The sequence below is a fragment of the Homo sapiens genome, chromosome 5 (assembly GCF_000001405.40).
Source record: "Homo sapiens chromosome 5, GRCh38.p14 Primary Assembly".
Taxonomy (NCBI): Eukaryota; Metazoa; Chordata; class Mammalia; order Primates; family Hominidae; genus Homo; species Homo sapiens.
The window spans coordinates 145,856,942-145,873,234 of record NC_000005.10 but is presented as its reverse complement, the minus strand read 5'-3'; the positions used below and the strand labels follow the sequence as shown (position 1 = coordinate 145,873,234).

The 16,293-nt window shown below is 40.7% G+C and overlaps 1 protein-coding gene across 2 annotated transcripts in view; it reads left to right on the top strand.

The window, feature by feature from the left end:
• The window catches only part of GRXCR2 (glutaredoxin and cysteine rich domain containing 2), a 74,004-nt gene extending 58,439 nt beyond the window's left edge, over positions 1-15,565 (top strand). The window contains exons 1-3 of one of the 2 annotated variants that reach the window (NM_001080516.2): positions 221-602; positions 6,507-6,734; positions 13,320-14,714. In NM_001080516.2, coding sequence (NP_001073985.1) covers positions 267-602; positions 6,507-6,734; positions 13,320-13,502 — 747 coding nt within the window. In that variant the 5' untranslated portion in view covers positions 221-266 and the 3' untranslated portion in view covers positions 13,503-14,714. Of the gene's footprint in view, positions 1-220; positions 603-6,506; positions 6,735-13,319 lie in introns of those variants that run through there. The other variant, XM_017009708.2, reaches the window with a different exon arrangement.

Below are 16,293 nucleotides of genomic sequence, written 5' to 3'. Positions count from 1 at the left end.
TGAAGTCATGGTGAGCTTGGGATTATGAGAAGAATCAATCTTGTCTTATATTCCATCCACTCCATCAAACCAGAATCACCTGCCTTTTCATGAGGGTCTATCAATATTTAATGTATGGGTGTCAGTTGCTGTAAACTGACCATACCCCAGCAACAACTTGAATTAATTATATGCAGGAGGAGAGAAAATAAAATGCCTTTTTCTCAGAGGCCCAAGTTTCACCGGCTGCACGGAAGGCTGGAGACCACAGGGTCAACTTTCTGCTGATGGAGGACCCTGAGAAAAAGCTGAATCAGAAGAGTGATGGCAAACCCCGGAAAGTACGATTTAAAATCTCCTCCTCCTACAGCGGTCGAGTATTGAAGCAGGTCTTTGAGGATGGGCAGGAATTAGAGTCACCAAAGGAGGAATACCCTCACAGTTTTCTGCAAGAGTCTCTTGAAACAATGGATGGTGTTTATGGGTCTGGGGAAGTCCCCAGGCCCCAGATGTGCTCCCCTAAGCTGACTGCTCAGAGGATCAGTGTGTTTAGAGAGGGTAATGCCTACACCTTGGCAGGCGGCCAGCCTCGGTTCAACGATTACAAGGCGAATGACCATAAGGTTGGTATTGTGCATGGCATATAGGCTTTAAGGGTAGGGCTTCCTAAAACGTGTTTAGAGAAACTCCTAAATGGTTCAGATTTGTGTCTTGCTCCCCCTCCGGTACCAACCAGAACTGTTGGTGCACCAAATGGGAAGTTGTTATTAGACGAATATTTCTGGGGTAAAAATAACATGCTTGTTGACTACTAATTGGAAAGTGCAATGAGCATATATAGTATTCAAATTCCATCCAAGGTAATACATTGTAATTGGATCTTTGACTGAGTTTTCCTGGAATGTAAATTAAATAGAGGTGCAGTGGTTTTCAGGTTGTCAGACTGCGGTTTTAGACAATTATGCAGTCATTTTGTTTCCTGAAAGAGCTGAGTATTTGAAAGTGCTCATTTTACTCCAGCCAATTACTCAGCTTGCAGTTTATCCATGTCTTGTTTTTTACCCCTATTGCCTTCCTCATACTGCCTGCTTTGTCTATTTATTTTTCCTTTCCATTGCTCCTTAGCATAAGCTCTGGGTAGTTGGAGTCCTGGGAAGGGATGGTGAAACGCAAATCAGCCAGAGGATATGTTATGTGAGGAAGAAGTTTGAGCTAATGGTTCGATTGAAGAATGTGTTTAATCTATGAATTTCAATTACTTCCCAGTACCATGGATAATCAAAAGTCCATACATGATTTTCTTTTAAGGTAGAACCTGGAAAACATACACTGGTATCCAAAAATTCATAGGAGATGTATATATGCTGTCAGTGGGACCATGAATGACTTCTTAAAAAAGATAAAATACAATTATATAATGTATCCACGTTATTAATGAATAGCACACCAGGATGTGTTCTCATCTTTAAAGTGTGAAAGCCAGATAATTACTCTTGAATTATTTTTATTGTTAGTTTCCTAAGGGAATAGATAACACATCTATTGCAGACAAATGTATTACTGGCTTTACTGGCATTGGTAAAAGTATAATTATGGGCATGTTCACAATTACCGAAGATAACACTAGGCTTGTTTTTGATATTAAAAGGGGCTGAAATGAATGACCTCTTATCTTAATGGGGTGACGTATGCAGTACAAAGTGTCATCATGTACTATCTCTGTCTATATCTATGGCATTGGGTCTTTACTATAACCTTGGGGAGAAAGGCCAAAGTATGGTCATTCCCATTTTGCAGAAGAGAAAAATTGAGTGCCAAGTTGTTAAGGGATCCATCTGATACTACAGGGTCATTGGGTACAGAGTCAGAATAAGAATCCAGATCTTCTGATGCTACAAATGTTTTGCTTTAGGGCATGTTCCTTTTTTTAGAGAACCATATTATTACATAATAATAATAGCTACCATTTGTTGAGTGCTTATTAGGTCCTAGGCACTTGGCTAGTCTTGTACTTATACTATTTCTTTTTAACTATGTCTTATTTGTAGATTTAGAATTTACAAAGTCACAGTTCATGCAAACCTTATGCAAGGCCACAGTAGATAAATTTTGGGTTGCTTGATCTTCATAAGTCATGTGCTAAATTTAGCATTTATGAAAATGTATAATTTTTTTTTTCTTTTTTAGAGACAGGGTCTCATCTGTCAACCAGGCTGGAGTGCAGTGGTATGATCATAACTCACAGCAATCTCAAACTCCTGGGCTCAAGGGATCCTCCTGCCTCAGCCTCTCTGGTAGCTAGGACTATAGAATTTATAAATCTAGGTAAATGAGTCTTCATGGCAGCATGGCTCAGTTGGTTAAAACACAGTACTCTATGTGTTTTAGAGGCCATGTTGAAGGTCTGATTCCTGCTTGGCCTCATTATCTCTGTTTTCTTTGTTTCCTGATCAAGTGCCCCATCCCAATCATAGCCAGATTCTGAGCATGAGAGTGACCAGGATGGATTCATGTAGCTGCACACCCTGGAATCATTTGTCAATGTGGTATTTATGAAAAAGAAGAAAATGAGAGCTAATGTCATGACTTTTCAATAACGAATCCAAATGTAAAACACTTCCTAGTAAATATTGGCTATGAGACCACATTGGGTAGCAATTAAGTGCAATAATTCAAAGCAAGGGCTCTGAACTCAAACAGATATATGTACAACATTGTTCATAGCAGCATTATTCTCAATTGCCTAAAGGTGGAAAGAACCCAAATGTCCATAGACTGATGAATGGATAAACAAGATGCGGTATGTACATACAACACAATATTATTCAGTCTTGAAAAGGAAGGCCATTTTGACACATGCACAATGTGGTTGACCCTTGAAGACGTTATACTAAATGAAATAAGCCAGTCACAAAAACACAAATACTGTATGATTGCACTTATTTGAGGTACCTAGAGTAGTCAAAATCATACAGACAGCAAGTAGAATGGTGGTTGGCAGGGGCTGGGGGCAGGGGAGAAGAAGAGTCATTGTTTAATGGATACAGAGTTTCAATTTGGGAAGAAGAAAACGTTCTGGAGATGAATGGTGGTCATGGCTGCACAGTAATGTGAATGCACTTAATGTCACTGAGTTGTACACTTAGAAAGGGTTAAAATGGTAAATTCTATGTTATGTACAGATTACCATGATAATATATATATATATCTTTTTAAAAAACAAGGACTTTGATACCTGTCAAACCTGAGCTTGATGTTCAGTCCTACCCATTTACTGGGTAAGCTCGAACAAGCTAGTTAACCCTGTTGACCTTCAACGTCATTGTGATATGAGGGTAATCAAAGGAGTTGCTTAAGAGTTGTTGTGATGATTTTAAAAGATAACACATAAGAAGCTCAGGCCAGGCACGGTGGCCCACACCTGTAATCCCAGCACTTGGGGAGACTGAGGAGGGCAGATCACGAGGTCAGGAGATGGAGACCATCCTGGCTAACATGGTGAAACCCTGTCTCTACTAAAAATACAAAAAATTAGCCAGGTGTGGTGGCGGGCGCCTGTAGTCCCAGCTACTCGGGAGGCTGAGGCAGGAGAATGGTGTGAACCCGTGAGGCGGAGCTTGCAGTGAGCCGAGATTGCACCACTGCACTCCAGCCTGGGTGACAGAGCAAGACTCCGTCTCAAAAAAAAAAAAAAAAGAGAGAGAGAGAGAAAGAAGCTCTTAGCATTGTGCCTGGCACATTTTATGTGCTTAGCGAATGTTACCCACCATTGTAATAACGAGCAGGTTCTTATCAAAGAAATGTTGAGTCTTTTAAATTTTATGTGATGGGTAGAGAAAAAGGTTATAAATAATAAAAATATTTTAAGCAATTAAAACTGAAGTTTATAAGGTTCAAAGAAAATGGAAGGGAAAAGGAAGGGAGGTAACATTTACTGAACACCTACTTTATACATATTGCATAATTTCATCTTCACAACATTTCTATGAGTGTTTTACAGATTGGAAAAACGGAAGTTCATAAGGATTAACTAACTTGCAAACCTCATACAGTTGTCAAACAACATTTTAATACAATCTGAACTCAGGTCTGTCTATCTCCAAAGCCCACTGAATTTCTAGTACCCAATAAGGCTTTCTGCATTTAAAAACAGAGCAGTGGAAAGATTTAATAGTGCCTGATCAATAATCTCTAGTTATGTTGCCACAGACAAAAGAGTATTTACAAGTGCTCAATCACACAGGTTGCCATTCTGTGCACTAGTAAGGAAATGAAAAATTCTTGGCTTTTTCCTGGCCCTCTATCATGTAGGACTGGGTGTTCCCCATTGACATTTGATGTAACCACGTAACGTGAACTTTCATTACAACCATAGAGTTTCCTTAGACACAAGGAAGAATTTGCCTATCAGGGTAACTAAAACTTAAACACACCTTAAAAGTGACTTGAGACCCTCCATCTTTGGGGTACATCAAAAAATAAACTTGCTATCTTGGGTGTCTCAGACATTGAGCAGCTCAGAAACAGGGGTTTGGAGTAGGTGATCTCAGATTCTTTTAGCGTATTGAGAGTTTTGTCTTGAAAAAAATCAGCTCTAGAGATGAAAAGCTTCCTAGTAACTGAACCTCATTGGCTATTACTGGAAGTAGAAATGGAACCTTCGAAAAGTACCACCATCCTTATCTTCTGATATTCAGAAACTGATAGTCCAGAGTGTGAAATAAGAATCCAGCCTGCATAAAACAATAGGAAATGGAAGCTGCTACACGATCCCTTGAAGAAAGGGAGAGAAAATCGGGCCAGATAGGAAGCTTGTGGCTTAATAAATAATTATTGAAAACTCCATGGGTGTTTCAAGAAAGAGAGCCTGAATATTGAAGTCTTGCTCAAGCCAGGTTTTGGCTGAATATCTTTTAAATACAAGACTGCTTAACTTTAGCGTATAAATAGATTTGGTTTATACAGTCCTATAAGCAGGGCAGAATACTTCATGCTGAGGTATTGAGTTGTGTAGTATGATTGTGCATGCACTACAGAAGAATAATTTTAAATAATAACAATGGCAACAGTTCTCACAATCTGCATATTGTGCAGATTGTGACAATCAACATATAAAATAAAAACACTATTTTATATGTTTTTCGTGGTACCTCCCACCCCCAGAAGTTGATATAATTAGCCTCAGGGATGAAAGTAAACATATTTAACCACAGGAACATTGCTCAATCAGCAGAGAAGCCAATAGAGTGTTGGAGAAGAGTACTGAGACTTGGGTCCCTAAGTATTAACTCTTACATCACTAGGTTTAGGGATGTTAGAGGCTCCCTGAAGGGAGGCTGGGGTAATTGGAGGGCACTCAGGAGTCTCAGGACAACACATGTTTACCACTCAGTATGGAAGCATTTCTGTATTTTAATCACTAGCTTGATTGTGGTGATGCCTACCAGCTGGATATCAGCCCCTTTGCAAATTAGCAAACTGAAGTTGAGAGGTTACATGACTTTCCCGTATGTCACAATCACACTACACAACTAAATATCTCAGCATGAAATACTCTTCCCTGCTTACAGAACTGTATAAACCAAATCTGTTTAGATGCTGCAGTCAGGCAGTCTTCTATTTAAAGTAATTTCTAAACAGTTACCCTCCAGTCCTCTCTACTGCATTGTGATATTGTCCAGGTTTATTCCTGAGCAAATGATTAAGTAACACATGACAAATCCATGCAAGAGAACAAAAGCTATTAATAATGATGCTTTAGAAGTCTATTTATTGGCATAGATGATTTTCATATTATATAGCTAATGAAAAAATAGGTTGCAACAGAGTATATATTATGATCGTATTTTTTGGGGGGGAAATACTTTTAAATAGTGTGATATAGGTGGTAAAAATATGGGCTTTAGGGTGACAGACTTGGGTTCCAATTCTAGTTACAGTGCCCGAGTAACTCTGTCACCTTGGTGGGGCACTTAACCCCACTGAGTCTCAGTCTCCTCACCTTAAAATGTGGAAACTATAGCATCTGCCTCATAGGGATGTTTGGGGAGAAACTGAGGCAATGTTGGTAAAATGCTTAGCATGATGCCTGAGACACAAATAGTGCTCAGTAAATGGTATCTACTAATATTATTATTTATGCTGGTAAAAAATTGGAGAGATATTTATATAAAATGAAAAAGTGTCCCTCTGTATTTATTAAACACTCATTGTACCCAGCCCTGCATTGGCTGTTGGGGTATGCAGTACAAATAGAAGCTCTAGCCCCTGCCCTCCAGACTCTCATACTCTGAGTAGTTCAGCTTTGATTGGTCACCATCAACAGGAAGAAGGAAACTGGCTTTCATGGCTTTTAGAGAGAGCAAACAGACCAGGGAATGAACTGTGACTTTGGGGTCTGATGGGATCAAAAATGCTGGGTGGTAGAAGTTCCTTCTCTGCTGTTTCCTGGTATGTTGGACAGGTTCTGCAGCCCTCTACTTGGTGATTGGTGGTAAAGTTTCCATGCTCATTCTCCATTTCTCTAGCCCCTACCTATTATAGATTTTGGAAAGATAATCATCTACACTAATAACCTGAAAATCATTCGAACCCCAATGGACAAGAGAGATTTTGTGAGGAAAATTCTCCAGAAGGAAGAGGAGGCTGAGGAAGAGTCTCTGATGAACAAAGAAGAAAGCTATGGAGGCAGGGACCAGCACGATAGACCTTTGGTGGAGGCAGAAAGCACATTACCCCAAAACCGGTATACACAGGTGCGTTGGGGAGCTTGACTGTCCTGCTCGGAGCTGGCCCTACAGCAATGGTCTCCAAGCTGGCTTGATTGTGCACTGCTTAAGTAAAACCTTTTGAATATGAATACTTAAGATACCTAAACTTGAAGATATGAGGAATTTTAACATTTGTTATATTTTAATGGTACATTGTTAGCAATAGCAGTTATAAGTCCATATTTCAGATACTCTAAATTTTTAATTTTTTGGCTGACTTCTTTTTAGATCTGATTAAATATTTATTGTTTTCACTGTGCAGTGTGGTTTATGAACAGCTGGTTCTAGAGGTGGAAAAATATATCAGCCCTATATTTTCTTTTTTCTTTCTTTCTTTTTTTTTTTTTTTTTGAGAAGGAGTTTCACTCTTTTTGCCTGGGCAGGATCTCAATGGCGTGATCTTTGCTCACTGCAACCTCTGTCTCCTGGATAAGTGATTCTCCTGCCTCAGCCTCCTGAGTAGCTGGGATTTCAGGCACCCACCACCATGCCTAATTTTTTTTTATTTTTAATAGAGATGGGGTTTCACCATGTTGTCCAGGCTGGTCCCGAACTCCTGTCTTCAAGTGTTCCATCTGCCTCGGCCTCCCAAAGTGCTGGGATTACAAGCATGAGCCACCGTGCCTGGCCTGGCCCTATCTTTTCTTATGGGTTCACTTGTTCTTCTATTATTGGTGTTATCCTTGATCCATAGTCTCCTGGAAGACATCATGTAAAGTCATGATTCCATTTGGCAGATTAGTTTAGCTAAAACTAAGGAGTATCCTTTGTAAATCCACTAGACCAGGCACAAGTAAACTGCAACATGTTGCAATGTGCTGAAAGTGAACAAGTGAGCTGGACGCTACTGTCAGCAACATTTGAACATCACTCTTACTCCAGGGTCCCTTGGGTACCACACTTGTCTAGTGACTGCCTGACCTAATATGGCTGTCAGTGTCCACAAGTTTATTAAAAGTTAGTATAAAAATTCTTTTAAAAATGTTAATAAAGCTTAATATCTGCCTAATTGTAGATAAAAAGTAAATATGAATATTCCAATGTTTTCCTCTCATACCCCTTAGAAGTGTGCACGCACCACCTTGGAAACCATAGCTCAGACATGCTCAGACCAGGGGGAGGAGGGCTGATATTCGTTCATTCACAGTGTGAGGTTGGGGGTGGAGGAAGCAATTTTGATGCATTTAAGCCGAAAGATTAAAAGCTTGGGTAGCTGGATGAATGAATTTTCTCTCTCTTAGATTCCATCTCCTGGGACTTGATGTTTTCTGTGGGATTCACTGTAATCTCCTGGGATTGCTATGAAAAAATTGGTCAGGGGCTTTCTGGAACTTGAGTGATGTCTCTACTCTGGGAGGGTTCAGATGATGAGAACAAGAAGGTCATGACTGGGCTTTGAGTAATGGCCTTAGACAAGAGGCACCAAAGGCTCCTTCTTATCTCATTTCTCCCATATCATAAGTCTATCTACCTCTCCACAATTTCTCTAAAATCTACTTTTTTCTCTCTTCCTTTCTACCTCTCCTTCCCTTCCCCTAGAGCATAAGCAACTGGGACTCTAGCAAAAGGTTCTGAAAGTTCCACTCACATCCATTCAGGTACCTTTCCAACCTGCCCCCACACTCAAAAAGATATTTTTAAATGTAATCTGATTAGGTCACCCCCTTTGTCACTGTATTAGTCCGTTTTCACACTGCTCTAAAGATAGTACTTGAGACTGAGTAATACATAAACAAAGGAGGTTTAATTGACTCACAGTTCCAAATGGCTGGGGAGGCCTCAGGAAACTTACAATCTTGGTGGAAGGTGAAGGGGAAGCAAGGCACATCTTACATGGCAGCAGGGGAGAGAAAGAGAGAGAGAGAGCTTGAGAAAGTGCCATGCTTTAAAACCACCAGCTCTGGTGAGAACTCACTTATCACGAGAACAGCATGAGGGAAACTGCCCCCATGATCCAATCACCTTCCACCAGGTTCCCCCCTTGACACATGGAGATTACAATTCAAGATGAGATTTGGGTAGGGACACAGAGCCAAACCATATCAGTCACCCCCTCTAAGCTTTCAGTGTCTTTTCATTGCTTGGGATAAAACCGCAAACTCCTTACTTGTCCCAGAAAGCTCTGTGTAGCCTGGCCTCTGCTGGCCCCTCCAGCATCATCTCTTACACATCTTTTCTCATGCTCTTGGCCCCAGACACACTGCCCATCTCCCCATCTCCATCCCTCATATATTATTTTCTCTTTCCTACCAGAGGCCAATCCCCTCTGCCTGGAATGTCCCCAGACTCCCACCACCCTGCCTTCAGCTTCTGAGATCTCAGAGGAGGCATCACTTCCTCAGAGGGATCTTCCCTGGCTTCCATGAGGAAAAAAATCCTCTAGGATTGACCTGTCAGGGCACCTTACACCCCTCATCAGAGTTGCAATCTTACTTTAGTTTGTGTGATTATTTGGTTGGTGTTTGCTCTTACCAATTAGGTCTCCATGAGGGCAGGCCTGGCCATGTTTATGCTGGGTGCAACATTGTAGTTCCAGTATCAGAAAAATACAGCCTGGCATATAACAGGTAATCAGTGAATATTAGTTAACTGTTTGTGGAAAGAATACTGGAATTTGAGACCAAAGTGCCAGCTGGTAAGAAGTCTTTGGCCATTACCTTCTCTCATGTTCTACACAGAACTATTAAGAACCTAGCCTGGGCCGGGTGTGGTAGTTCATGCTTGTAATCCCAGGCAGAGGAGGGAAGATCCCTTGAGCCCAGGAGCTCGAAACTAGCCTGGGCAACATAATGAGACCTGTCTTTACAAAAAAATTTTTAAAAAAGAACCTAACCTGGCAGCAGGCAGATGACCGAACATGTTGATCCAAAGCGCTACCTTCCCACTATAAAATTTTTTAATTCTATTATCTATCATACTATATTGTAAGTTGTAGGAGCATGTATTTTCAGAAGAGGACCAGAAATGATAAAAGGCAGGTCATACTGCAGGCCTGAATAAAAAAGCAAGAGTAAGCCTGATATGACAATTACTTTTAAGTTCAATTTGGAGAGATCTGTGTTTTTTAGCTGTAATGCTATAAACTAGGACAGAGGTGTGCAGCAGAAGTTTGCTGTGAAAGGTTATACTTCACTTGCCTGTCCTTTAAACTCTGTTTTAAATTGCTATTTGTTTGCCCAATCCCTCATGCAGTAAATGCCCAGACAAGTTTTATTTTAAAAGAGAAGGTCAAAGAACATCAAGGAGCCCCTTCTGACCAAGAGCCTCTTTGTTCTGTTAGATGGAACGGGGCAGCAGTGAGAATCTGATGAAAGAGTAGGGCAAGGCTGAAAGCCCGGCCAGGTTTGAGCTTCTGTATTAACTATCAAAGAAGTGGATAGGAATAATTGAATCGAGCCACAGCAAAAGGTGGAAAGGGAAAAATTTGGCTTTGTGCTCAGTGAATTTGAGGCCATAAATCATCTGGGCTTCTTTATGCTTTATGTGATCTCACTTTGAAATAATAGCAATAATCATCTCATCATAATCATAATCATAATAGCTGCCATTTATTGAGGACTCATGATAGCCAGGCACCATGACCAATGCTCCATGCAACAGTTCATTTAACTTTTTCAAGAACCCTGTGAGGTAGATATTATTAATAGTCACATTCTGCAGCTAGGGAAACTGAGGATCAGGTTAAGTAACTTGCCAGAGATCATTAGAGCCAGTAGTCAAATCTAGGTCCATTTGTTGAACAGTCTCTTGACCATAATAACCCTATTATGCAGTCTCAATTGGCACTGGTTACCATCTTCAGGGCTCTACAAGCCTTGGAGTCTGCAGTAAAAGATCAGGCCCCTCTTCTTGGTCATGGAGCTAGTAGAGGTGGATTGGTGGGTCTGTTGGGTTCTAGAACCTAAGCTATGCTGTGCAACTATGTTCTATATCCTACTAAATATTTTCTGAGAATAATTTTAAAAGATACAGAGAAAGGAAGAAAGAGGCTTATAGTATACAAGCCTTGTATAGAGTGGTGCTTATTAAATACTTGCTGAATTAGTTGAATGATTAAAAAGAGCATGTTGAGGGTAAGTGGTCAGAGAGTGGTAACCCAGAATAAGAATGGAAACTCCAGTGAAACTTCTAATAATGTAGTGCACCCTAGAACTATATGACATTAGATATAATTTGATGGAAGACGTGTTCTTATTCTCTACAGAAGGCTTACTAGGTCATTTCATTAATCTTTCAATATCTGATCTGGCGTTTTATGCAAATGAATTTTTGGATCACATGTATAGCATTATGTTAGGATTTTACTGTACTTTCCCTCACAGTGTGGACTTATGTTATTAAAATCTCACTGGGATGAAGTACAAAACATAAAACCTAATGGATTTGGCAGGAAATGAATCGTGGCAACTTGCTTTAAGAATATTTTTGCAAATATGTATTATTTTGAATACTTTAAGAAAACAAATTCTCCATTGTTAATATACTAAAATATGGTAGCAATCAATAAAATATTAACGAAAGGGTACATAGACCTGATTTGAGTTTTTGTCAATTGGGTAATTACTTTCATTCCTTAAATCTAGAATAAATAAAATTTAGTATCTTCTTAGGCAATTTGCAGCATGATGGAGCTATTTTCAAAACGTATGCCTCCCTTTTCAGGGATTATTTTTATTCTTAGGTTATAAAAGAAAGCTGAATGAGTTGGGCAGAGCTACCCAGCGGACTCCTGCTGTCTTGTTGGTCCCTAGAATTTAAGAACAGGAAGGGTTCTCCAGATATTATTGTTCATTTGTTTATTCATTTGACATAAGTAGCATGCCAGGCACTGCACTAGATGTTTGGGAAGTGATCATGAAATGGTACAAGTCCAGAGAGCTCCCTGTCTAATCAACAGGAACTTTCACTGGAGTATGGGATACCTGTCATGCGAGGGGCAGTACAGGTGGCCATGGGGGTGGGGGAACTCCTGGTCCAGAGCTGTGGGTGGGCAAGCCTTCTTGGAGGAAGAGCTGCTAAGCTGACTTCTGGGGACAAGCAGGAGTTGGCTGCGTTGGGATTGGGGAAAGGTCCCTGGAGACCAAGTACAGAGAGGCCCATGAACAAGATCCTGATGAAAGAAGTGACAAAAAATTTAAATCGGCTAAGGAGACTGGGTTTTATCCTGAGGTTTTATCTGGAGGGCAAGTGTTCATTAAAAAGGTTTCCTGATTGCTTTCTATGTGACAATCACTACTGCAGGCAACTTAATAAGCTTGGCATCAGTGGGAAGAACATACCACAAGACCAGAGGCATGGGTCCACACTCAGTTCATGCCAGAGTCAGTGGGCAATTGGGCTGGGATTGTAGTTGTGGGATGAAGAAAGCAGGATGGATTTGAGATTTTCAGAAGCTGAAATGGCCAGGACTTGGTACTGAATTTAGCAGGTTTCGATCTAGTATCTCCCCTTATTTCTGGGAAGGTTCATAGTCTATAAGGAGTACCAAGATCACCAATTTCCTTAAGATAGCTTTAAGGGGGAGAGCAAGACAATAGCCAAGGAACATTTTCTGAAGAGTGGGAGTCAAGAACTGGAGATTTGTTAGCAAGGCTTAGGAGAAGGTGCACCTATGATCTGACAGATAATATTGCATTACATATATTCTCTCATTTAATGTTCCAGCTACTCAGAAGGGTAAGCATTATTATTCAATTCTATAAATAAAGAAACAGATTGGGAGAGGCTAAGGGAACTATTCAAGTTGCACAGCTGATGGCAGACAATAGCCTCAGTCCTAGTCTATTAACTCCAAAGTACAGAGCTCTTAATCACTGGGCCTTAGCTCTCAAAGAGAATAAAGATATAAGTACTGCAAGCATACAGAGCTAAGCTTTGAAGGATTGTAACATTTATCGATTCATTCATTTCTCCACTCAGTCTCTCAGTCACACAGAACAGTCTTGGGCATTTACTATGGACAACTACAATGAGGGGCTGTGCACATAGGCATTAGGAGCATGAATTCTGGTGCTCAAATCGCTGAGATGAGAGCCCACCTCTTCCTTTTTCAAGCTGTGTGTGTGACCATTGGCAAACAACTTCTCAGTATCTCATTTTCCCATCTGCAACACAAGGATAATAATACTTACACTATCTCACTGGGATTTTGTGAGGATTAGATGGATGATATATAGGAAGCACTTAGAACAGCACCTGGCACCTATCAGGCATGCTACAAGGGTTCACTTGTAGTATTTGGCAATAAGGAAAATAAAGTCCTTGCCCTTTATGGAGCTTACAGAAAAAACAGGTCAGAGATAGTGACAAGGGCAATGAAGATCATGAAGTCTTGGAATGCAAAGTGTGGTGGCACAGGATGCTGTCTTAGAGGTGTCCACCAGGGGAATCCTCTCTGATAAAATTGCTGTAACTATTCTGGGTCCCAGATGATTCTCTCACTGACATTCGTGGGAAGCATTTTCCTCTATTCTGCCCCAGCCTTTGCTGTAGTCTAGTGCTGTTTTGACCTGCATGTGAACAACGGACTTGAACTGCTGCTTTAACTAAACCCTAACCTGTCTCTTGCAGGAAGGGGATATTCCCGAGGACAGCTGTTTTCACTGCCGAGGGTCGGGCAGTGCCACCTGCTCTCTGTGCCACGGCAGCAAGTTCTCGATGCTGGCCAACAGATTTAAGGAGTCCTATCGGGCCCTGAGGTGCCCTGCCTGCAATGAGAATGGCCTACAGCCTTGCCAGATTTGCAATCAATAGCCCGTGGCTTTTGCATGTCCACTGTTATCTTACCCTCCCTAAAGTTATTTCTAATAAACCGCCCCCTTCTCCTCCTCCTGCCTCTCCCAACAAGGAGGCCACAGTGGCTGCAGTCACTCCCACTGCTGGCAAAACTCAATTATCTGATGACATTTTGTGAGGCCGGTAACATCTCTCTGTGGGTCTAAGTGGCAGGGGCATTTCTGAATTATAGTCTGCTTTGAAACTGGTTCTAAAATTATCCTTCCAGGATGGTGTGAGTGTATCTCACTTGACTTAGCTCAGTTTTCTTCTTGCTTCAGTGAGCAAATACATGTACACTTCAGGCATCAGGTTGGGAGTTATTTTGCAAAATTATGTGGTGAGAAAGGAGTAAAAAAGGCAGGTTTCTGATGAACTGATTTCTTGTTGCTTATAATGCATCTCATGTGATTATTAGTCAAACTGAATTTCTGATTAAGCAGAAGAGGAAACGGACAGCCAACGCTGAACGCACTAGCAGGCCACAGCAAGCAAAATGGGATGTTCACTGTGGAGACAGGCAAGCCAAGGAGCCTTCCCTTTCAAAGTCCTGAACCTCTTCCATGTGGTGTGTTTGGATAATATTTATGCAGACAGTGAGCAATACTATTTCTTAAGTCAAGATGAGATAAGACATTTTTGTGTGCCTCTAACTACTGAGGTTATAAGCCAAGTCAAAGTTATTTATGATAAATTTGGTGCTCAAATATGTGTGTATGATATAACTTCTTCGAGCCCCTGAATTACTACCAAATAAATAAATCCACTTTAAGTCTAGAACCTAGCCATGATCTCTTCATAAAGGACTGCAGGTATTTTATAGATTACCTACTGGAAATCTCTAAAAGAAAAAAATTAACCAAGGCTGATTTTTAGCAGTAATGTTTCTACTATCCATGAATATGCATAGTAAGGATGATTCTTTCCTCTTGAGGTTGGTTATAAAATTAGAACATACTTTTGTTAATGAACTTTTATAGCTCTAACACCCACTCCCCAAGCCCCTTAAGAATAACACTGCAAAATTTATCTCTTGAGACCTGCTGCATTCTGTGATAATAATTTTGATTTCATAACTTAATAATTTCTCAAGATTTGTTTGTTATTCTCTAATATTCAGCGTTTAACATAATTTAACAATGGAATGCTTTTCAGGCAATATAAATAATTCTAATAAAAAAGACTAAAATATTTTTGAAGCCTTGATAGTTTTGCCTGTCCTTTCATACTCAGGAGTTACCATATTGCTCACCAGCTTTCTTTGCTTCTGTCCTTAACTGTTATACCTCCTGCCTCTGTTTATGTTTTCTCACAGCTGTTGGCTCTTCTGACTTTTCAGAATACTAGAGGAAGGAGGGATGTTGAGAGTGTATTCTGCTTTTTTTTTTTTTTTTTGTGGGAGACAGAGTCCGCTCTGTTGCTCAGGCTGGAGTGCAGTGGTGCAATCTTTGTTCATTGCAACCTCTGCCTCCCGGCTTCCAGCGATTCTCCTGCCTCCGCCTCCTGAGTAGCTGGGATCACAGGCACATGCCACCACTCCCAGCTAATTTTTGTATTTTTAGTAGAGACGGGGTTTCGTCATGTTGGCCAGGCTGGTCTCCAACTCCTGACCTCAGGTGATCCGCCCATCTCGGCCTCCCAAAGTGCTGGGATTACAGGCATGAGCCACCGCGCCTGGCTCTATTCTGCTTTTCGACAGGAATATTCCGTCACAAATATTGTTTGAGCCCCGCTGCATACAGGACAGTATTCCAAAGTGCTTGATGTATCATGTTACCCAGAGAGGCATCATCCCTTTGGTATCTCATGGAACTTAGTTTTAGAGGAGGAGATAGATACATAAATGGATAATTGCAATGCACTGTGACAAGTGCTGGGATAGGATAATTACAGGGAGCATTTGGAGCATGCAGAAGGGGCATCTAATTTAAGCCTTAGTGGGGTTATGCAGGTTGCCCAGAGGAAGAAGTGTGAGCAACCTCAGCTTCTGTAAAGAGCCTTTAATGTTTTTCATCACATAATAAATAACCTACTAATGATCATATTTATTGTGTTCATTTCACAAGTATTCATTTATTATTGTGGTAGGAACACTTAACATGAGAACTACCCTCTTAATGAACTTTTAAGTGTACAGTATGTTATTGTTGACTATCTACAAGTATTTATGGAGCACCGAGGATGTATCAGTAGACAAAACAAACTAAATGCTCCTACGAGCTTAAATTTTGGTGAAGGAATACAGACAACTAAATATATAGATTTATGGGAATAATATATATGTTTATGCAATAAGTATAGCCTATAGAACAAAATATATACAATTATATATAGTAAGCTATATATATAACACATACATTACATATATACACACACATATATGTAACGTATAGTGGTGTTAAAAAGGACAAAAGGCTGGGCGCGGTGGCTCGCACCGTAATCCCAGCACTTTGGGAGGCTGAGGCGGGTGGATCACCTAAGGTCGGGAGATCAAGACCAGCCTGACCAGCATGGTGAAACCCCCCCTCTCTACTAAATACAAAAAATTAGCCAGACGTGGTGGCACATGCCTGCAATACCAGCTACTTGGGAGGCTGAGGCAGGAGAATCGCTTGAACCCGGGAGGTGGAGGTTGCAGTGAGCCAAGATTGTGCCACTGCACTCCAGCCTGGGCAACAAAAACGAAACTCCGTGTAAAAAAAAAAAAATAGGTTGCAATTTTTAAATTAGCTTGCAGGGAGGCTCCTTGACAAGGTGCCATTTATCAGCT